At 38.6% G+C, this 24,278-nt stretch overlaps 1 protein-coding gene across 13 annotated transcripts in view; it reads right to left on the bottom strand.

Moving 5' to 3' along the window:
* The window catches only part of CRLS1 (cardiolipin synthase 1), a 34,116-nt gene that overhangs the window by 3,781 nt on the left and 6,057 nt on the right, over positions 1-24,278 (bottom strand). For 7 of the 13 annotated variants that reach the window (NM_001323562.2, NM_001323563.2, NM_019095.6 and 4 more), the window contains exons 3-6: positions 20,783-20,912; positions 4,903-4,988; positions 4,193-4,261; positions 1,718-1,809 (exon numbers count right to left, since the gene is read on the bottom strand). In NM_001323562.2, coding sequence (NP_001310491.1) covers positions 1,718-1,809; positions 4,193-4,261; positions 4,903-4,988; positions 20,783-20,912 — 377 coding nt within the window. Of the gene's footprint in view, positions 1-1,717; positions 1,810-4,192; positions 4,262-4,902; positions 4,989-7,547; positions 7,602-10,034; positions 10,103-12,850; positions 12,982-20,782; positions 20,913-24,278 lie in introns of those variants that run through there. The other 6 variants (XR_007067457.1, XR_007067458.1, NR_136617.2 and 3 more) reach the window with 6 other exon arrangements.

Here is a 24,278-nt window from a genome sequence, read left to right as displayed (position 1 = left end):
GTGTTAGAAAAATTGCTATTTCTAGCTGGACGCAGTGGCTCATGACTATAATCCTACCACTTTGGCAGGCCGAGGCAGGAGGATTGTTTGAGGCCAAGAGTTTGAGACCAGCCTGGGCAACATAGTGAGACCCTGTTTCTACAAAAAATAATAATACAAAAAATTAGTGGCTGGGCACAGTGGCTCACACCTGTAATCCCAGCACTTTGAGAGGCTGAGGCGGGTGGATCAACTGAGGCCAGGAGTTCGAGACCAGCCTGACCAACAAGGTGAAATCCCGCCTTTACTAAAAATACAAAAATTGGCCAGGTATGGTGGTGGGCGCCTGTAATCCCAGCTACTCAGGAGGCTGAGGCAGGAGAATCGCTTGAACCCGGGTGGTAGAGGTTGCAGTGAGCTGAGATCAGGCCATTGCACTCCAGCCTGGGCAACAGAGCGAGACTCTGTCTCAAAAATAAATAAATTAATTAATTAAAAAAAAATAGCCAGGTGTGGTGGTGGCACATGCCTGTAATCCCAGCTACTCAGGAGGCTGAAGCTGAAGGATCGCTTGAGGCCAGGAATTCAAGGTTACAGTGAGCTATGATCATGCCACTGTACTACAGGCTGGGTGACAGAGCAAGACCCTGTCTCCAAAAAAATAAAATAAAAATTTTTTTAATTGCTATTTCTGAAAACTACATTGGATGCTTTAGAAAGACTCAATAAAGGTGACTTGATTAAAAAAAAAATACTGTCTCTCTCTTCATGGGTTCCTAGGGGAAAAAAATACTGTCAAAATAAATAGACAAGATGATTGTGAAAAGACTAGGGAAAATATCTAAACAGTTCTTAGACTGCTTTGCAAATGTTTTAAGTTCTTGCATCACCTTAAAGAAGTAAAAAATGAAAATCAGAGAGGTTTGTATTATGGATGTAGTTTATCCGAGAAAGAAAAAACTCCCACTGATGGACCTACACTCAAAAAGCCTTCATCCTATATCAGAAGGTATAAGATGAACTGGGATAAATGTACACTTAAATATTTTTAATTAAAATAAAAAGTTTAGAGTAGTTGTCATTTTTTAAAAGACTGCCTGGCTTAACTGACTGTGATTAGCCACCACTTTCTGGTCCAGACTGTACCAAGCAAGATAATTTTAATTCTAGTTAAAATTGTGCCAAAATATAATACTCCAATGTCAATGTGACTATTTTGAACTCTGAAAGCGTGAATTTGACACACTTTTAAGATGATAAATAAGCAATTAGTATAATAAAATTCAAACTCCTCTCTCCAGTTTTCCCTCCTACAACACCCTTTTCAACAGGCTGGACTCAGCTTCCCTACCCTCTCTCCTACACTCTATCTCTTGGCTTAGGCCCTGTCTTTCACCTAGTGGTCTCCTCTCAGTCTCTTCCTACACACAATCCACTTCATGCAACAAATGCCACTTCCTTCCTGAAACTGTCCCTCTTCTTCCTACGAAGTTATCTCTTCCTCCAAAACCCTTAACACATTATCAGTACCTTTTATCCCTTTTAATTTGTATGAAAGCTAACTTCTCCATCTCATACTTGGCAGGAAGCGTCTTAACAATGGTATCAATCACCAAATATAGCCACAGCTTTACCCAGTCAGTGCTCAACAAATGCTGTAAGAACAAGGTCATTCTAGGGCTATCACCATAAGTCATTCTGTTGACATTCTAAGAGAGTGATTCTAAATTTAGCTTACCATAGTATCTGAAGATAAATGCTGTCAGCATAGTTGAAAACTGGAGCTGCCAAAGAAGCTGCCACCAAGATTAACTGGACTGCTGTATTCACCTAAATAAAAAAAGAAAAAGTTCTAAGTGAATAGTGCCAACTGGATCCTATTTCAAGCTTTCAAGACAAAAGCACAGCCCATCACACTATAACATGACATACCCTCAGCATGCTTGCTGTTCATCTACACTATCCCTGCCCAATAAGCTTGCATTCACAGGTGAGCACACACAAAAGGGTCAGCTTCACTAACTGACCCATCTGTCTGCACAGCTGCCCTTAAGAGCAAGAGTAATGACAACTGTCAGAAAATACCACTACCTTGAATTCTCACAGCAACTCAAAAATGTTACAAAATTATTTGCCTTTTTTCCAACTGCCCATTAAAATGGAATACGAAAATAACTAAGCTACCTCTTCATGGGTAAAAGGGTAATGAGTTAGGTGACTTGCCTGCAGTCACAGCAGACAACAGAACCAAAGCTGGAACCTAGATTTCCTGGGGCCTTATCCGATGCTCCTTTCTTGCCTACCTGTCAAACCTTGTGAGGTTAGAAAATTAAAAGGCACTCATCTCAGGACAGATGCAGTGGTTCATGCCTGCAATCCCAACACTTTGGGAGGCTGAGGCAGAAGGACTACTTGAGCCCAGGAGTTTGAAACCAGCTAGTTAAAAACCAGCCAAGCATGGTGGTGTGCACCTGTACTCTCAGCTACTTGGGGGGCTGAGGTGGTAGGATATTTTGAGCCTGGGAAGTCAAGGCTGCAGTGAGCTATGATTGCGCCACTGCACTCAAGGCTGGGCAGACAGCGCAAGACCCCGTTTCAAAGAAAAAGCACTCATCTCCATAAAAGAACCTCTCTCAAGGAGGAAATGAGTAGGCTTCCCTACACTAAAAGACAGCACTGGGGAGAAAAGAAAATAGAACAAGAAATACACTGGAGACTCCCTCTATCATCATGAGAAGCACTCCATGGAAGAGTCTGCAAAGTATGAAAAAGCGAGTGAAGCAGACGAGCACCTCTGTTCTATCACCCGTTCTGCAGCCAAATGAGAAGGATTCTACTTCATTTAAAAAATAAATAATAGCCAGGCGCAGTGGCTCACGCCTGTAAGCCCAGCACTTTGGGAGGCCGAGATGGGTGGATCACCTGAGGTCAGGAGTTTGAGACCAGTCTGACCAACATGGTGAAACCCCGTCTCTACTAAAAAATACAAAAAAAAAATTAGCTGGGCGTGGTGGCGCATGCCTGTAATCTCAGCTACTTGGGAGACTGAGGCAGGAGAATCGCTTGAACCCGGGAGGAGGAGGTTGCAGTGAGCCAAGATCGCGTCATTGCACTCCAGCCTGGGCAACAAGAGCAAAAATTCATCTATAAAAAATAATAAAATAAAATAAAATTAAATTAAATTAAAATAAAATAAAATATAAAATATAAAATAAAATAAAATGTAAATTTTATCCTAAGGGCTTCCTATAAGGGTTTAAGGCACTTGTCCCCGTACCTCTTTAAGCACTTTCCATGTAACGCTACACTCAAATTGCCATACAATATAAACACAAGTCACTTGAAGCCAAACAAACAAACAAACAAAAAACAACAAAAAAACCCCAAACCCTATGCATGTAGATGAAAGTCCACCCCAGGGAGTTCTGTATAGAAGCAACTACCCTTCTCTCCCAAAAATGATGGGCATTCTTAACCTGTTAAATCCTTGACATTAAAGATGGGACAAAAGAATGAACTGAGAAAACTTATCAAAGCTACTAGAAAAACAAATATGGCTTGAGAGGTAGACTGGCATATACTTATTGCCCTGAATGCTCGGGAAAACAGAATGGACAACTAAGAGTAGCAGTTGTTTATTAGTGAACAAAACTTTTTCCTATTTTCCTATCCCTTTCCACTTAACTATCAATCCTGAAAATGAACAGCCATTTGGTATTTTCACCACAGGGAAGGAGGGAGTGAAACCACCAGGGACTCTTCATAATCTGTGAAACTGAATTAAGAAGCAGTTACAGCCAAGCTTGGTGGCTCACTCCTGTAATCCCAATAATTTGGGAACCCAAGGCAGGAGAATTGCTTGAAGCCAGGAGTTCCATACCAGCCTGGGCAACAAAGTAAGACCTTGTCTCAAAAAAAAAAAAAAAAAAAGGAACAATTACATTTCAATTCCCTTTCCCTAAACAGTGGCCCGATTACCTCATTCAGAGCTTAAACTCTCAGACCACCAACTCAAGGCACAACATGTATAAGGATGATCCAAAAAACACGGAGGACAAACTAGGTTAAAACTGCCTGCCCAACGCTACTCTCTAGCCTCTATACTCAATGCATTTAAATTTGTCTCATTTTCAGCTGTTCTTGACTAAGGTTTATATCCTGTATAATAAAAATTTACAAAGGAATAACTTCAAAGAACATTGCATTCTCTTACCTTGCTGATGAATGTTGGTTTTAACCTAGCAGTGGCATAGCAAGGATTGAAATACTTGGCAAGTGTTCGCTGGCAGAGGACCAAAAAAGATAAAGTAATTAACTTATTGTTTAAAATAACATTTTTATTTAAAATAGACATTTTGTTATTATACTTAGGTAACAACATAACTTTATAAATCATACATTCAATATATACTGAATATTGATTTTAAAAAATGTATAGATTTTTCAATTGCTGTAAAATTCGAACACAATACCTATCATATAGTTTGCTTTATAAAATTTTACTAAACTCAAAATTCCCTTATTCACTATTTTCTTTTTTGAATTAAAAAATAAAATGAACAAAATACTGCTCTACTGCTCTATTTTCAGTACATTGGGAGCCAAAAGAGGTTAATATGCTATGCGTATGTGTTCAAGTATTTATAGAGCCTGTGAATAAATATGCAAACAAACCATCCCATGTTCATACAACTGTGATTTTTAAAACCAATTCTAGACTATCCATGGTAGAGGTTAAATTAGACAATATGGCCTGGACCTATATGAAACACCTTTAAAGAATTTGCTTCTAGGGATAGGGGCTGGCTAGTCTGGGTTTCACGTGCCATCAATTGAAAAGATGTTGACGCAAAAATATGTCTTTTTGCTTTTTCCTTAAATCATATATAATGCTAAAAGAATACTTTTTGGAAACAAACTCACTGGTGTTGGAAGAGTTCGGTATCTGACATAAAAAACAGCAGCAATCAACATTACATCTCTCGAAATGATCATGTAAGTAAGTGGAACTGAAAATCAAACATAAAATAATTTTAACTGGGATTCTGAAGAGTACTAATATGCATTATGAATACAATAATATGTCATTCAGCCTTACCACAAACTGCTGTTTTCACAAATAGAAATTTTATAATGAACACCTATCGATGGTTTAGGGTCCCCTATAGCAAACTACTGATTTTTATATTCTTCTTTAACCCGCCCTCAAAACAAAGTGAAGTACAGACTATGGCTTTGAAGTCTGTATCTGCCTTTCAGTATGCTGATCTTCTCATCTGTTTGTGTTTTTTTCTTGCATGTTTTTAAGCTATTAGTCCGCAGTTATCAGCATCAGCTCTACTCAGCGCTATCTCCTCCTTTGCTACTTCTAAGCTCTGCACATTTGAAAAAAGATCACCATACTCAGAATTACATGAAAAGAGATTATAAAGAGGTGGAGAAGGATGTGGGAGGCCTCAAACTCTTCTGAAATCTCAGGAGCTTTGATTGCTTGTTCTGCATTTTAGACTATTCTCTGAAGAGTAAAATTTGCTGTTATGTGCAACTAGTAGAGAAACAGAATTTTTTTTTTTTTGAGACAGAGCCTTGCTTTGTTGCCCAGGCTGGAGTGCAGTGGCACGGTATCGGCTCACTGCAGCCTTGACCTCCTGGGCTCAATGCAATCCTCCCACCTCACCCTCCCAAGTAGCTGGGAGCACAGATGCACGCCACCATGCCTAATTTTTGTATTTTTGTAGAGAAGGGATTTCACCATGTTGTCCTGGCTGGTCTAAAACTCCTGAGCTCAAGCGATCTACCTGCCTCAGCCTCCCAAAATGCTGGGATTACATGCATGAGCCATTGTGCCCAGCGTGAAATATTGTATACTTATCCAGCCAGTTCCTTCCCAGGGATTGCTGTTTTTCTCCCTGCCCATTCAATGAATGCAACTTGTCAATATTTTTGTCATCATTCCTCAGATTTTACACCATGGTCCCAGAGCCATAGCCAATAGAAGGATATTTTAAAATAAATACCCAAGGAACCCCTATTTCCTTACTGAATGGGAATGAGATGGCAGAGAACTTGCTTCACTTTATATCCTTCTGCACCATAGAAAGTTTTTAACTGTGAACATATCTTTTATAAGAAAAAAAAATTATTATTTTTAAAAAGGGGGGAAAAAAAAAAGCCTGAGTTCAAACACTCGGTTCCAACAGCATCCAAACTATTTCAAATAAATAAAGATAAAAATAAAAAGGATCATGAACATCCCTTCCAAAATACTTTCAAACAAATCTTTTATGAATTATTGGAGGCTATACTTATGGTCCTCTCCAGTTTTGACATTCAATTGGCTCTGCAATCTGAAGAAAATCTCTAATTACAGATTTAAAATTTAAATCTCTGCTGTTATAGCTATGATGTACATATTGATCCTTGGCCTAGTCCTTGATGGATAATACTATTCCAAAGAAAAAATGCTTATCCACTCAAGTCACGGCATTTGGAGCAAACAAGATGTGGCTATATGAGCCAAGCATGAAAACAGTGAGTCATAATTTTTAGGAACATTTTTGTACCGGTAAACAAACTTTTCTGTAGCAATCATTAGCTGGCAAAATCTAACAACAATCACACTTTTAAAATGCAGCAAACCTGCACGGTGGCTCATGCCTGTAATCCCAGCACCTTGGGAGGCCAAGGCAGGCAGATCACCGGAGGTCAGGAGTTCGAGATCAGCCTGACCAACACGGAGAAGCCCCATCTCTACTAAAAATACAAAATTAGCCAGGTGTGGTGGCATGCCTGTAATCCCAGCTATTTGGGAGGCTGAGGCAGGAGAATCGCTTGCCAGGAGGCAGAGGCTGCAGCAAGCCAAGATCGTGCCATTGCACTCCAGCCTGGGCAACAAGAGTGAAACTCTGTCTTTAAAAAAAAAAAAAAAAAAAAAAGAGCAGCAAATCCATGCAAATTAAAATCTATGTATAGTATGCATGGAAGAACATGCAAGACTGCATTTAACCAGGAATGTAGGCCTATGAAATTCAGACTATGTTTGGGTCAGCGCATTAGGTTCCAACCCAACAGTGTGACCTAACAATTAGCATCTCTGGACTCAGTTTACCATCTGTAACCATCTGGTAGGGGAAAGAGCTATTAAAAAAAAAAAAATCAAGGGTTCCCCAAACTGACTGCCCATCCAAAAGTCACCTTGAGAGAGCTCAGTAAAAGCCTAGATGAAAGCTCTCCTCTGGGTGACTCCTATGCACAGCAAGGCTAGAACATTTCTGTACCAGGTGGTCTCAAAGGCCTCAGCCAACTGAAGGATATGGGCTCCTACTGTGGTTAAAAAATGTTACCAAATTTCCTGGCTTTCTCTCTTGGACTCCTCTTCTCTTCTAGAGTTAAAACAGTTTTCATTTTGCCTACTAGAGTAAGAAAGTGATGGGCAGGACAGTGTAAAATGTGTCAAGGATTTCTCCAGGTTTTCCTCCCTACTTGCTAACTCTGAAACATGGGTAATATTTGCAATGATATTTCCAGTGTCTGTAAGTAAAATTTTATTAGAACACATTCATACTCACTAATTTAAATATTTTCTGTGGCTGCTTTCACACTACAACAGCAGAGCTGAGTAGCTGTAACAGAGATCACATAGCCCACAAAGCCAGACATCATGGACAAGTTTTATTAGCATTAAAGGGAAATAGTTCATAAAATCGTTTACATATTAAAAATGGTTAACATCAACACTATAGGTTTTTACACTGAAAACGGTAAACTTAACAGAATATTCTAGAAATTGACTTAAACCAGAAATAAGAATTTACCAGATGGTAAACCAGAAACAATATAATAATACAAAATATAATAATACAAAATAAATAAAATAATAAAAATAAAATAATACAAAAATGTGGCAGAACAAATACACACAGATCTAAGTTCAGTGGACATAAATCTAAGTAGAAATTAACTTGGATTTGCCTTCCACTCTCTAATTAACATATAAGCCAAAGAATTTGTTTTCATCCTTCTCCCCCTCCCATAAAAAGACCAAAAAGAATAGCAGAATGATTTATTATTCTAGCGAAGGAAGAAAGCAAAAAAATTTCTTGATCTCCAATCCTGCAGAAGATATTTCTTACTCTTAGAGAAACAAAGCTATTAAAATGAAGGTAGATGTGACTTTTAAAAAATGCAGCATAAAAGTAGGAACATGCAAGACTGCATATATGCATCATTCTACTTTCCAAAATTCTCCTAAAATGACAGTAAAGAAATGAAAGGATATAAAAACACAAAGAGAATAAGTAGAGGAGACAGATTTCAAAGTTTTAACCAGGCTTATTAGTAATAAGGTGAGAAGAGCCAAAACCTAAGTCCTTTAGAAAGGAATTCCCACAAGAGAAACTCAGAAGTCCATATAAAGAGCAGTTAGATCCCCGCCCCAAGCGTTCCCTAACACCTTACTGCTAGGGCTGTGGCTCCCTGTGGCTAAGCGTGATTTTTACATTTTTTAATGATTGGGGGGAAAGAAAGTCAGATGACCAGTATTTCAAGACACATGAAAATGCTATGAAATTCAATTTCCAGGCTGGGCGGGGTGGCTCACACCTGTAATCCCAGCACTTTGGGAGGCTGAGGCAGGCAGATCACTTGAGGCCAAGAGTTCGAGACCAGCCTGGCCAACATGGCAAAACCCTATCTTTACTAAAAATACAAAAATTAGCTCGGCGTGGTGGTGCATGCCTGTAATCCCAGCTACTCAGGAGGCTGAAGCACAATAATCACTTATTGAAAGTTATTGGGAGGCAGAGGTTGCAGTGAGCCAAGACTGCGCCACTGCATTCCAGCCTGGGTGACAGTGTGAGACCCTGTCTAAAAAACAAACAAACAAAAAACAAAAACAAACAAACAAACAAAAACAGGCATGGTGGCCCACGCCTGTAATCCCAGCACTTTGGGAGGCCGAGGCAGGTGGATCACCTGAGGTCAGGAGTTCGAGACCAGCCTGGTCAACATGGTAAAACCCTGTCTCTACTAAAAATACAAAAAATTAGCCAGGCATGGTGGTGGGTGGCTGTAATCCCAGCTACTCGGGAGGCTGAAGCAGGAGAATCACTTGAACCCGGGAGGCGGGGGTTGCAGTGAGCCGAGATAGCGCCATTGCACACCAGCCTAGGTGACAGAGCGAAACTCCTTCTCAAAAAAAAAAAAAAAAAAATTCAATTTCCAGTGTCTATAAGTAAAATTTTATTGGAATACATTCACACTCACCTGTATATTTTCTATGGCTGCTTTCACGCTACAATAGCAAAGCTGAGTGGTTGTGACAGAGATCACATTACCCACAAAGCAGGAAATAGTTACTATCTGGCCCTTTGCAGGAAAAGTTACCAACCCCAACTCCACATGTTACTCTCTGAACCAAGGGGCACTGGAGTGCAATAGGGATCAAGCGAAGGTCTACATACCGAACACTGAGATCCCAGCCTCCTCCCACAGCTTAGCTCCCAAAACCCTGGTGGGAAGGCATTTATACTTCCCAAGCAGCAGATGGAGAGCTAGGATCTACAGAATAGACTTAAAGATACTGAGAATTCAGGCCCTGCACCCAGTGCCTACGGAGCTCCCAATGAACTTTTCATGCCTCATTCAAATATAAGTTAGCAGCCAAGGATCACCATACATTTCAATAAAGTCTCCATCACAAAAGAGAGGCCGAAACAAACAAAAAATAGAATCTGAAGGAAACACAACCAATATAGAGGTTTTTAAATAAATAAATAAATACAAGCATGCCTCAGAGACATTGAAGGCTCTGTTCCAGACCACCGCAACAAAGCTAATACTGCAGTAAAGTGAGTTGCACGAATTTTTCAGTTTCCCAGTGCATATGAAAGTTATGTCTACACTATAATCCATTTTGTGTACGGTAGTAGCACTGTCTAAATATATATATATACACACACACACACACACACACACACACAAACACTCACACCACATGCTAACAATCATCTGAGCCTTTAATGAGTCATAATCTTTTTGCTAGTAGAGGATCTTACCTCAATGTTGACAGCTGCTGACTGATCAGTGTGGTGGTTGCTGAAGGCTGGGGTGGCTGTGGCAATTTCTTAAAATAAGACAACAATCAAGTTTGCCACATAAATTGACTCTGCCTTTCATAAAAGATTTCGCTGTACCATGCAATGCTATTTGATAGCATTTTACCCACAGAAGAACTTCCTTCAAAATTGAAGTTAATTCTTTCAAGCCCTGCAGCGGCCTTATCCACTAAGTCTGTGTTATATTTTAAATCCTCTGTTGTCATTTTAATAGTGTTCACGACATCTTCACCAGGAGTATATTTCATCTCTAGAAACCTCTTTAAAAAGCAACTCAGGTAATTTTTATCAAGAGATTGCAGCAATTCACTCACATCCTCAGGCTCCACTTCTAATTCTAGCTATCTTACTATTTCTACCACATCTGCAGTGACTTCCTCCACTAGTCTTGAACCCCTCAAATCATCCATGTGGGTTGGAATCAACTTCTTCCAAAAATCCAGTTAATGGTGATATTTTGACTTTCTCCCATGAATCACCAATATTCTTAATGGCATCTAGAATGGTGAATCCTTTCTAGAAGGTTTTCAATTTACTTTGCCCAGATCCATCAGAGGAATCACACTATCTACGTCACCTATAGCCTTGGGGAATGTATTTCTTAAATAGTAAGACTTGAAAGTCAAAATGACAAGGACTGAAGAATGGATGTGTTAGTAGGTATGAAAACAACATTAATTTTCTTGTATATCTCCATCAGAGCTCTTGGGTGACCAGGTGTGTTGTCAATGAGCAGTAACATTTTTAAAGGAATCTTTTTTTTCTGAGCAGTAGGTCTCAATTGTAGGCTTAAAATATTCAGCACATCATGTTGTAAACAGATGTGCTGTCATTCGTGCTTTGCTATTCCATTTCTAGAGCACAGGCAGAGTAGATTTAGCATAATGCTTAAGGGCCCTACAATTTTCAGAATGATAAATTAGCACTGGCTTCAACTTAAACTCACTGGCTTCATTGGCCTCTAGCAAGAGAATCAGCCTGTTCTTTCAAGCCCATGCACTGACCTCTCTCTACCTATGAAAGCTTTAGAGGGCATCTTCTTCCAATAGAAGGGTGTTTTGTCTCCATTGAAAATCTGTTTTTAGTGTAGCCACCCTCATCATTAGCTAGATTTTCTGTATAACTTGCTGCAGCTTCCCCACTAGTGCCTGCTGCTTCATCTTGCACTTCCATGTTATGGAGATGGCTTTTTTCCTTAAACTGCACAAACCAAGGTTGGCTAGCTTCCAACTTTTCTTCTGCAACTTCTTCACCTCTCTGTGCCTTCAAGGAATGGAAGAGACTTAGGGCCTTGATCTATTATAGATTAGGCTTTGGCTTAAGGACATGTTTTGGCTGACGTGATCTTCTATTCAGACCATTCAGACTTTCTTTCCATAAGCAATAAGGCTGTTTTGCTTACTTAACATTTGTGTGTTCACTGGAGTAACAATTTTAATTTCCTTCAAGAACTTTTCCTATGCATTCACAACTTGGCTAGCTATTTGGCACAACCGGCCTAGCTTTCAGCCTCTCTCAGCTTTCGAAATGCCCTCCTCACTAAGCTTAATAATTTCTAGCTTTTGATTTAAAGTGAGAGACATGTAACTTCTTCCTTTCACATTGCAGGGTTATTAATTGGTCTAATTTCAATATTATTGTGTCTCAGGGAATAGGGAGGCCTGAGGAGAGGGAGAGTGATAGGGGACCCACAGATTGGTGGAGCAGTCAGAACATACACAACATTAATCGATTAAGTTCACTCTTGATTAACAGGATTTTGGAAGAAGTTGATTCCAACCCTCATGGATGACTCTGACGGGTTCACTGCATCCCAAAGCAATTAGACAGTAACATCAGAGTTCGCTGATCACAGATCACCATAACAGATTTAATAATGACGAAATCTGGAATATTGGCAGAATTATTATAACGTGACACAGAGACCAGGTGCTGTGGCTCATGCCTGTAATCCCAGCACTTTGAAAGGCTGAGGTGGGAGGATCACTTAAGCCCAGGAGTTCGAGAGCAGCTTGGGCAACATAGGGAAACCCCATCTCTATAAAAAAATTTAAAACTTAGCTGGGTGTGTGGTGGTGTACCTCTGTAGTCTCAGCTACTCAAGAAGCGCAGGCAAGAGGATCCCTTGAGCCCAAGAGGTCAAGGCCGCAGTGAGGCATAATTACACCACTGCATTCCAGCCTGGGTGACAGAGCAAGACCCTGTCTCAGGAAAAAAAAAAAAATGTGACAGAGAGGCAAAATGAGCACATATGTTAGAAAAATGGTGCTGACAGACTTGTGGACATAGGGTTGCCAAACCTTGAATCTGTAAAAAATGTCACTTTGCAAAGTGCAATAAAGTGAAATGCAATAAAAATGAGGTATGTGCATGTATGTATAGATATCCCGAATGACATTCATACACGATATAAGAACTTTTTTTTTTTAATGAAGACAAAGAACATGAGCTCTTGAAAAATTCAAAATGAGAGCCAAAAAAATTCAACGGAAGGTGGGGAATGGTAATGTTGGGGGAATCTTTCGGAAGAAAAAAAAAAACAAAGATTTTTAAAAGAAAATCTGAAAGATAAAAAGAGAATCAATCCATGAAGCTCAGTTATGATGGGGTGACAGTAGCTAAAGCCCAGAGCCCTCGAAGTTGGGCTCTGATAAACCACCTTCTAGCCTGCAGCTAGGATATGAATGACTATTCCCACAGGGTTGGGAGAAAAGATGGGCCAAAGTAAAACAGGACTCCCAGGATTGTCTCATCACCTGGTGGTCTATGTGGTCCCAGACTGTTAGCATTCCTAGGCACCTGGTAGAACAAAAAAATCTTCTCTGGTGAGTAATGCCTTGTTCATAAGAATCAAATATTCCTCCAAATTATTTTTCAAAGAATGTATCTAAACAGAAAAAAAATAACGAAGAATTAAAATACCATGAGTAAGAATCAACAGAAACAGTGAACAAATGAAAGAGACTACCAAAAGATGTAAGATTTTTGAATCATCAGAGTCTATAAAACAACTCATGTTCAAGGGGATAAGTCAATACTGAAAACTTCAGCATGGAACTAAAAACCATAAAAGACAACTTAGCAAGTCCAAAAAAGAATAAAATAGAAGTTCTATAGTTACAGAATACAATAAAGTAAGATTAAATAGATTTGGTACAGCTACAGAGACAGGTAATGAAATGAAAAATAGTAAACCCATTAGTACAGCCAGAATGGAGCTCAAAAAGATAAAATGAGCTAACACAGAAAAAACCCACTGAGATGTAATGGATACGGGGAGAACGTCTAACATAGGTATACTGTAGCCCCAAAAGAAAAGAAAGAATACACAACAACAACATTTAAAGAGATTGTGGCTGAGAATTTTCTAGCACTGACTTCAAGATATAATGCACAGATTGAAAAGTCCAATAAATCCCAAGCAGAATAAAACAGAAACTTGCAACAAGAAATATTATTGTGAAACTGAGAAAAACAAAACACAAAGAAAATCTTAAAAATAGCCACAAGAAAGCAAAATTGCCTTCAAAAAAAGCAACATGGCCGGGTGCAGTGGCTCTTGCCTGTAATCAGAGCGCTTTGGAAGGCCAAGGTGGGTGGATTGCTTGAGCTCAAAAGTTCAAGACCAGCCTGGGCAACAGGCAAAACTCCATCTCTAAAAACCATATAAAAATGAGATGGGCATGGTGGCACACACCTGTAGTCCCAGCTACTCAGAAGGCTGAGGTAGGAGGACTGCTTGAGCCCGGGAGGCAGAGAATGCAGTGAGCCGAGATCACACCACTGCACTCCAGCCTGGGTGACAGAGCAAGACCCTGTCTTGAAAAAAAAAAAAAAAAAAAAGCAATGGATTAACAGCTGATTTCTTATTATCAACAATGGAAGAAGATGACTGAGCAATACCTTAAACATGCTAAGAAAAACTAATACCAACTTGGAATTCTATACATAACAAAAATATTCTTCAAGAATAAAGGCAAAATAAAAACATTTTCAGAGAAAAAGAATTTACCAGTACACCTACATTAAAAATAATTCCAAAAGAACATACTTCAGACAAAAGGAAAATGATCTCAGATGGGAGGTCTAAAATACATCAAACAAGACAGACTAGCAAAAAGTAATAAATATGAAGATAAATTTAAATGAACATTGTATAAACAATATCTGTGAGTTTAAGAAATATATAAAAGTATGACAACAGTAGCCTAAGCTGAGAGAAATAATTGGAGTTCAAGAATTCTAAGGTGCCTCCCATGCCCAGAATGAGTACAGAATTATTAAGATCATATTTTTATAAAGATAAATGTTTTAACTTGGAGGAAAACTGGATGGAAACCGTGTAAAACTTTCAAACTAGTAGAGTGAAAGAAAATATAATTTAAAAATACTAAAAAGGACAAAACATATGTGCCAAATAAAATACTTCAAGTAAAATAAAAGACTGAATGAAACATCTATCAATCACAATAAATATTAATGGGTTAAATGCTTCTGTTAAAAGACTATATGGGTTAAGACAAAATGGGTTTTATTTAAAATATGTTATTTACATATATATTTACATAAATATGTTATTTACAAGTGATATCTAAAAAGATGCAGAAATGTAGAAGGTAAAACATTTATCATGCAAACACTACCAAAAGCAAGCCAGCAGAGCTTAAGAACCCACAAAATATATTTTAAGGTAAAAATCATTACTACAGCTATAGAGGGTCACTTCATAACAAAACATTCACTTCACCAAGAAGACGTAACAATTCTAATTCATATTCACTTTAACAGCATAACTTCAAGACATACAAAGCAGGCCGGGTGCAGAGGCTCACACCCATAATCCCAGCACTTTGGGAGGCCGAGGCGGGCAGATCACTTGAGGTCTGGGGTTCAAGACCAGCCTGGCCAACATGGTGAAACCCCGTCTCTACTAAAAATACAAAAATTAGCAGGGCATGGTGGCACGCACCTGTAATTCCAGCTAGTCAGGAGACTGAGGTAGGAGAATCACTTGGACCCAGGTGGCAGAGGCTGCAGTGAGCCGAGATGGTGCCATGGGACTCTAGCCTGGGAGACAGAGCGAGACTCCGTCTCAAAAAAAAAAAAAAAAAAAGATACAAAACAAAATCACAACTACAGAGACAAATACTGGAGAACCAGACATACAGTAGGAAACTCTAACTGCTGAACAAACCAAAAGCAAAAGAACAGTCAGTGAAGAAAGAGAAGACTTAAAAAGCAGGATTAGGCCGGGCGCGGTGGCTCACGCCTGTAATCCCAGCACTTCGGGAGGCAGAGGAGGGCGGATCATGAGGTCAGGAGATCGAGACCATCCTGGCTAACACAGTGAAACCCCGCCTCTACTAAAAAAAAAAAAAAATACAAAAAATTAGCCGGGCGTGGTGGCAGGCACCTGTAGTCCCAGCTACTCGGGAGGCTGAGGTAGGAGAATGGCGTGAACCCAGGAGGCAGAGCTTGCAGTGAGCCAAGATTGCGCCACTGCACTCCAGCCTGGGCGACAGAGCAAGACTCCGTCTCAAAAAAAAAAAAAGCAGGATTAAAAACTTGATCTAATAGACCTATGAAGAACATCATACCCAAGAACTGCAGAATATACATTCATTTCAATTCATTTCAAGTATTCATGGAATATTTATAAAATCTGACAGTAGTGGGCTGAAAGGCTGAAATCACAGAGCATGTTCTCTGAACACAAGGTTATTATGACTGAAATTGTAACAAAAAGGTAACTAAAAAAATCCCCACAAAAATGGCAACAAATTAAGATATATTTATTTTTAACCTAACAGGTCAATGAAAGAATAATAATGGAAATAGGAAAATATTGTATACTGGACAATGACACACTAAAACCAACATAGGAGATGCAATGAAAGTGACACTTAGAGGAACATATACAGTCTTATATGCAATCTTTAGAAAAGAAAAGCTGAAAAACAAGTTAGGTATCCACTTATAGCTGCACTGCTCAAAACACACACTAGACTATGAAGGCGTATAGGAAAAAAATTCTCATTAATTTATTGATTACATGTTAAAATGACAATATTTTTGATATAGTGGATTACTTAAAATATATCAATTTTCATGTTTCCTTTTTTAAAAACTACTAAAAATTTTTAATTACATAAGAATCTTCATTTTATTTCTAGACAGAATTGATCTAAAGAATTTAGAGCCAGGCATGGTGGCTCACACCTGTAATCCCAGCACTTTGAGAGGTAGAGGCACCTAAGGTCAGGATCACTTCAGGATCACCTGAGGTGAGGAGTTCGAGGCCAGCCTGGCCAACATGGTGAAACTCCGTCTCTACTAAAAATACAAAAAAACTAGCCAAGTATGGTGGCACACACCTGTAATCCTAGCTACTCAGGAGGCTGAGGCAGGAGAATCACATGAACCCAGGAGGCAGAGGTTGCAGTGAGCTGAGATCATGCCACTGCACTCAAAAAAAAAAAAAAAAAAAGAATTTCGAAAAAGAACAGCAAAGAAAACCTGAAGAAGAAAAAAAATAAAACTACAAGATGTAATGAAGTAGTAAACAACAGATCAGAGAGGCTTGACAAAACCCAAAGCTGATTCTTTCAAAAGATTCATAAAACTGACAAACCTCTGGCAAAAAAGATGAAAAAAAAAAAAAAAAAAGGGACAAAAAATAATCAAGAGGAAAAGGAGGACATTACTACATATCCTACAGACATCAAAAGGTTAATGAGAGCTATTCTGGGCCCACTGCCTATAGGGTAGCCCTGCTCCACAAGGAGTAGTAAGTAAATAAATAAAGTTAATGAGGATACCATAAACACCGTATGATACATTTTTTATAATGTAGACCAAATGGACAAATTCCTAGAAAAACATCACAACTTAAAAACTGGTCAAAAGGTGTAATATGGAGTGAGTTGGTTGAAGGTTAAAAAAAAAGATGTACTTTAAACCTGAATCATCCCGTAACAATTAAAGAAAATGAATTACCTATTTTAAAACTCTGCCCTAAAGAAAACTCCAGGCCTCAACGGCTTTAACAGATTCTACCAAACATTTAAGTAGAAATATTCATAATCAAACATCTTCCAAGAATGGAAGAAAAAAAAAAGTCCCCAATTCATTTTATGAGGCTAGTTATAAATTTGATATGAAAACCTAACAAGAATATATGAAGAATTCCAAGCCAATCTCATGAATTAAAATTTGAAATCTTCCACAAAATATTAGCAAGCCAAATCCAGCAATCTCTTCATAATATATCATGGCAATGTTGGATTTATACCAGGAATTGCAGCTTGTTTTAACATTAGAACTAATATTGCATTAATATGTGTAATTCACCACACATGAACAGCTAAAGGGAAAAATGATATGACCATAGGAATACACAAAAGGAGTTTGATAAAATTTAATATCCAGGCCAGGGGTGGTGGCTTATGCTTATAATCCCAGAACTTTGGGAGGCCAAGAGTTCAAGATCAGCATGAGCAACATAGCAAAACCGCATCTCTACAAAAAACACAAAAAAATTCAGTACCCAATTGTGAGAAAAACTCTTAAACTCCCAACAGAAGTGAACTTCTTAACTTGAAAAAGGATACTGACAAAAACCAACAGCAAACATCATCTTTAATAGTGAAACGCTAAAGGCTTTTCTATGAGGTTGGGAATAAGACATTGACACCACTCCTTGCCAACACTGTACTACTCAGTGCAGTAAGGCAAGTAAAAGAAACAAAGGGTAAAAGGACTGGAAAAGAAGAAATACGTTGTCATTAATTACATACAAGACATAAATAAGCATGTAAAAAATCCAAGCAAATTTATATGTATATTGTTAGAATACAAGTTAGCAAGTTTCGCTAGACATAACAATCAACATTAGAAACAGTACTGATTTTTTCATATCAACATGGAGTTATAAGAAAATAATTTTTTTTTTTTTTTTTTTTTGAGGACAGAGTCTCACTCCATCACTCGGGCTGGAGTGCAGTGGTATAATCTCGGCTCATTGCAACCTCTGCCTCCCAGGTTCAAGATATTCTCATGCCTCAGCCTCCTGAGTAGCTGGGATTACAGGCACGTGCCACCACATATGGCTAATTGTTGTATTTTTAGTAGACAGGGTTTCGCCATGTTGGCCAGGCTACTCTTGAACTCCTAATCTCAAGTGATCCGCCCACCTCAGCCCCCCAAAGTGCTGCGATTACAGGGGCAAGCCATTGTGCCCGGCCAGAAAATGAAATTTAAAAGCTACCATTTATAAAAGCACCAAGAACTATCATGTACTTAGGAATAAGTCTAACAAAAGTGTTTATTATCTTTCTGGAGAGAACTATAAAACTTTGAGAGATATTAAAGCAGACCTCAATGGAGTAGATACTGGACTGGAAGACTTAACATTGTAAAGATGCAAATTCCTCCAAACAGATCATAAGTTCATTGCAATCCCAATCAAAATCCAAACAGATTTTTCTCTGGAAAATTGCTGATTCTTAGAAAAGCTGATTCTAAAATTTGTAACAAATGGAAACAAATGGAAAGGGCTAAGAATGTCCAAGGTGGAAGGACTCACTCTACTGGATATCAAGACTTTTAGCAAAGCAATAAGAAGAATGCCACTGATGCAAAGACAGACAAACAATGGGGAAGAAAACAACTTAGAAATTACCTTGCACTGAGTCTGAAAAATACAAATTTTTCTATAAAAAGTGCTAGGATAACTGGGTAGCCATATAAGCATTAGAAAATGAATTAAGAGAGATAACTTTTTAAAGAAAACATCAATTAGGAATCACATTTTCTTAAAATCCTAAAAGCTTTCCAATACTAAACACAATCCCATGTAAAGGAAAAGGTATCCAAATGATAAGAGACTGTTCCGTAGCAAGTTGGAATCTCCAAGTCTATGGAAGAGGGTCTTCACAATTCTGAATTAAAATCATCTGCAGTTTAAAAATTATGCCTCCAGCCTGGGCAACGTGGTAAAACCCTATATCTACAAAAAGTACAAATATTAGCCAGGCGTGGTGATGCACATGGTGGTAGGTTCTTGGGAGGCTGAGGTCAGAGGACTGCTTGAGCTGGGAGGTTAAGGCTGCAATGAGCTGAGATTGCACCACTGCACTCCAGCCTGGGTCACAGAGTGAGACCCTGTCTCAAAAAGAAAAAGAAAAGAAAAAAAGATAAAAGATAAAAAAAAGTGATGCCTACTTCAACTGTCAATCATGTATGGAAGACAAAATAGAGACACTGAGATGTCTAAGACCTCTAAAAATCTGGCTGCCACACTCCATCCTTCTACAGAAAACAACTGGAGAAAAGGAGTAACTTAAAGCAAAGGAAGACATGGGAGCCTGGAAAAACAGACTCAACACAGAAGAAAGAAAATGGAAACTCTAAGATTGCCAGTGAAGGGAAGTCTCAGCTTGGAAAGCAACCTACACCAATCATATAAGTAAAACTCACAGCAACATTACCCATAATTCCAAAAAACCTGGAAACAATTTCTATGTTCAATAGCAAAATGACTGGCCAACCTTTGTAAAATACTACATCAAAATACAATGTAACTTTGAAAAAATGGCAGGGGCCAAGCAAGGTGATTCAAGCCAATAGTCCCATCACTTTGGGAGGCCGAGGTGGGAGGATCACTTGATCCCAGAAGTTCGAGACCAGCCTAGGCAAGAAAACTCACACACACACACACACACACCCCCATTCCCCAATCACATACACACCTCAATTCTAACTTTCAAAGAAGCACATAAAAGTAAACATTAGTCCAATTTATTTTTTATTTTGGTACGAGAACTTAAAAGACTAAAAATCAGAAAGAAAAATAATTTCCAGTTGGGGGAGACTAGACTGAAATGCCACTATACTTCTTTCTACCAAGTGTCAATAATAACATGATACCGAGGGACCATGTGGCAGCTTCTTTGTTCTCAGATACAATTTCTTTCTTTCTTCCTTTTTTTTCCCTTTTCCTAAACCTCAAAAATGCAAACTCTTAGACTGACAGTGAAGGGAAGTCCCAGTGTGATCAGATATGATTCCTAGCTCTTGGGAAAAAAACAGTTTAACTTGGTCTGAGGGAGAAAAACTGAGAAATACGACTGAAGAAGAAAATGAACAATCAGAAAAGCACATGCAAAATACAAAGCAAAAAAATCATGAAATCTTATCAGAAAAAGTATTCATATAATGTACAAACTATATATATGATTTAAAAATTGCATAATAGGGTCTACATAATGTGAAATTTTATAGACATCTTCAGAATTTCAGAGTTCTCACTTATGATTAAACGATATTAATAAAGATAATAAACGTAGGAAAACTAAATTGCTTTTGAAAAGCTAGGCACTAAAAATACATAATGTATCACCAAAAAATTTCAGAGTAATATGAATTGGCACTGTGAAATATTTATTCAATTTTAATTTTAAACAATCTTACTAGGAAAGCAACTGATTTTACTAGTAAAACAAGGACATAAATTCTAAAATCCACAAGTAGTTTGACAAAACAGTTCAACAGTTTAAAATTAGGGAAACAGTTTAAAGTTGAAAACTATATTTTTGGAACAAAAATTATTTGTCTCTCAAGAGAAATCCTAAGCTGACTAATGTCATTCTTCCCTGTGCTATTCAAAAGTACGCATGACGCGTTCTTACCTGGAATAAGATCTGCATAGGTCAAGCTAACATATAAGATACTGATAAGTATTTTATCAGCAAGTGGATCAAGAGCACTTCCCAAAGCTGATCTTTGATTGGCCCAGTTTCGAGCAATAAATCCATCCAACTGAAAATAGAAGTTTTTTTTTATATATATAAATGTCATAACAGGAACAAAGCAGATATTCTGAAGCTTAAGATATACCAGAATAACAATTATACTCTCATAAAATGTTAACAAAATGTCTTCTGTTTCTTACCCCCAAACATTCTCATTCTTTTGCTGGTATACATTTCGCTTTTAAATTAGCAACTGGTCTTAAAATAAATGCACATTTATTTTCTTTCCCCCTCAAGTCCTTCTGGTTATTTCTCGGTATTTTCACAAGGCCCCTTTGTGGGATGAACCCAAATACACATTTAGAGATACGGTTAGTGATGTATTTACAGCTATAAAGAACCCAAAGAAAACTCAAAGAAAGCATGAACGGCAGAGCCTGGACTAGGATAATATAATCCAACTCTGTTAAAACTTACCATTTTTCTGTTTTTCAACTCATTTTGCTCAATACCACTGTTTATTCCATACTCTGACTGTATCTGCATTACCTACATTTGAATAGAAAACTCAATCCTCTCTACCTGGCCTAGTTAAAATTCTGATACTTAAATTATTTATTTTTATATTATTGTGATTAAAAATAAACCATTTAAAGCATAAGTCACATCTAGTTGCTAGTGGGCCAAATGGAGCCTGTAAGCTGGTTCTGTTTGACCTATCAGAGCTTTTAAAAACTGTAATTAGTTATCAACATGTAAGTATTCAATTCTTCCCATAAAAACCCAGGTCTCCATCCTAACTTGAGAAGGGAGCGGTCTGGCCACTCTGGGGCCACAAAATGGACTGAAATCAAGTACTGTCTATTCACATTAAACAAGGCAGATATTTTCTGGTTTATCCAAGTCCCTTCCTGGCTTTTACTCATTTAACTTCAAGTTTCAACAAATGTTTGAGTTCTCTAATACTATTTCTAAGGGGAAAAAAGATTAATTTAGACGCAATTAATCATGGTTCATTTTAAAGAACAAGTAAGTTGTCCATATCTCAAGTATTCCAATGAGTTAGAGGAGACAGCGGTAGTCCAGGACCGTGGTAAAAAAAAATGTGGTCTTTGTAGCAGAACAGAAGCTGTTCAAGTCCTGGCTCTGCCACTTAGTAGCTGTGTGATCTTGGATAAGTTATTTGGCCTGACTAAGCCTTAGTTTCCTCATCTGTAAAACAGAGATAAATTACCTACCTCAAAGGGGTGGTTGTCTTCAGCACACAATGTGATTAATACTTGTTCAGCACTCAGCACTTAGTAAATCCTCAAAAAAAGCAGTTACTAGCTATTGCTATTGCAACTGAAAAAATCTATTTCCTTCTTAAGCATACGAACAGAAAAGTACCTAGCCTGGGGAGCTGGGACCTTGGAAGATCAGGTTTAGTTCAGTTTCTGACCTCAGGGAACTTAACCTTTCACTTTTTCGCCATCATCACCCTCTCATCTTCACTATTCCTCTAATCCACACTAGATTCCAAGGTCATCAACATCATTCCTTTATAAACATCTGTAACTCCCCTTCACTCCACTCTCCTTCAACACTGCTTAAAAGCAACTCTCCATGTACTCTGGGCCTGCACCTAAGAGCTGAATAGTGCTTAAGGAAAACACACAAATGGGAAGACTGGTCTCACTTCAAACTGATGACCACAAATCTCCCATGGGCACCCAATACTGCCTAGCAATCCCACACTTGTTTACCATATTTACCCTCTCTTTTCACACTGTCTCTTCCACACTGTCTCTGCTCTCACCTCAGACCTAACTCCATCCCTCTCGCTCATGGTCATGTCTGTATTTTCCTTAAGGAAAAAGAAAACCGTAGTCAGCCCATCCTCATATTCCCATCATCAAATCCCCCACCTACCTGCATCCATTCATTCTCTCTGCCTTCCTTCATCCGTTCCCATGCCCTCTCACCTTCTGTGACCTGCCTCCCTTCTTCCCCATCTCCCCTTGCATCATCCATCTCTCCCTTTCATTTAATCTTTCTACCTGATCATTTAATTAATCAGTTAACTAACAACAAAAATTCACTGGGCACAGTGGCACACCTATAGTCCCAGCTACTTGGAAGGCTGAGGTGGGAGGATCGTTTGAAGCCAGGAGTTCAAGGCCAACCTGGGCAACACGAGATTTATCTCAAAAAAAAAAAAAAAAAGGCCAAACAAAAATTCCCCAGTATATACATATACTCCAGCATATATTTTTATATATAGGATTTTATATCTATCTATCTATATACACATAGATATAATTCCCCAGTATATATCTTTTTAAAAGACCCTTCTGTGATCCTATTTCTCTATCCCCCTACAAAGCAAAACTGCTTCAAAGGAACGTCCAATGTCATTACCATCTCACATGTGTTCATCGACCCACTCCAATCGTCCCCACCCCTCCAGAGGTGAGGCTCATAAAGGTCACCAAGGAACTCCGCATTTTTAGAGTACCTGACCTCGACACAACTGAAGCACTTTCTCCACTTTCTGGGAAATCTCACTGCCTAATTTTCTTCCTCGCCAGCTATTCCTTCCCAGGGTTCCTGACTGGCTTCTTTTCTGGTGCTTTACTTGTTGCTCATTTCTCTGACCCTTCATTCCTGTTACCTCAGCCTGGATGATTTTACCCAGATCCAACCATCTATATCTGACAGCTCCCAAATTTCTCTCTCTGTAACGATGACTTCCTCCAACTCCAAACTACTAAACTGCCCAACTGATACTTCTATGTGGATAGGCAACAGAATTCTTAGTATTCTCCCTTAAACTCTGCCCTACTCAAGTGTTGCCCATCACAGAAAATGTCATTTCCATGAACCTGGTTTTAGAAGAGAATTTTTTTTTTAAAGTAAGTCCCTAGTATTCATATTTGACTCCTCCCACTCTCACTCCATATCTAATCCATCCACATATTACTTCTGTCTTTAAAATATATCTCAAACCCACACACTTCTCTCCAACTCCAAACTCCAACCCCAGTCTAAGCTCCCACCACGGCTGCCATGGAACACGGCCAGCCCCTAACCAGTTACTCTGCTTCCACTCTTGCTGGATCATGGTCAGCCCCCTAACCACTTACTCAGCTTCCACTCTTAGCTGTCTATAATCCATTTTCCACACACAACGCAATCAGACTTTGTCGTTCCCTGGCTTAAACTGATGAGTCCGACCACCTCCCAGTGGCCAATTGAAAGGCACTAAAATCTCCATGGAACAAATGTGAAATGTGGCACCAGTTAACTTAGGTTTCCACAAACATCATCTTATATATTTAGTAAAATGTTAATGGGGCCTCTCTAACATTCAATGAATACTGCAATCTCATGTGGCAGCTTACAAGAAAAAAAAAAACGTAGCAGACAAAAAAGGAGACTACAGTAACTGAAA

The sequence above is a fragment of the Homo sapiens genome, chromosome 20 (genome assembly GCF_000001405.40).
Source record: "Homo sapiens chromosome 20, GRCh38.p14 Primary Assembly".
Lineage (NCBI taxonomy): Eukaryota > Metazoa > Chordata > Mammalia > Primates > Hominidae > Homo > Homo sapiens.
Note: the sequence above shows the minus strand (reverse complement) of the source record. Positions and strands in the feature narration are given on the sequence as shown.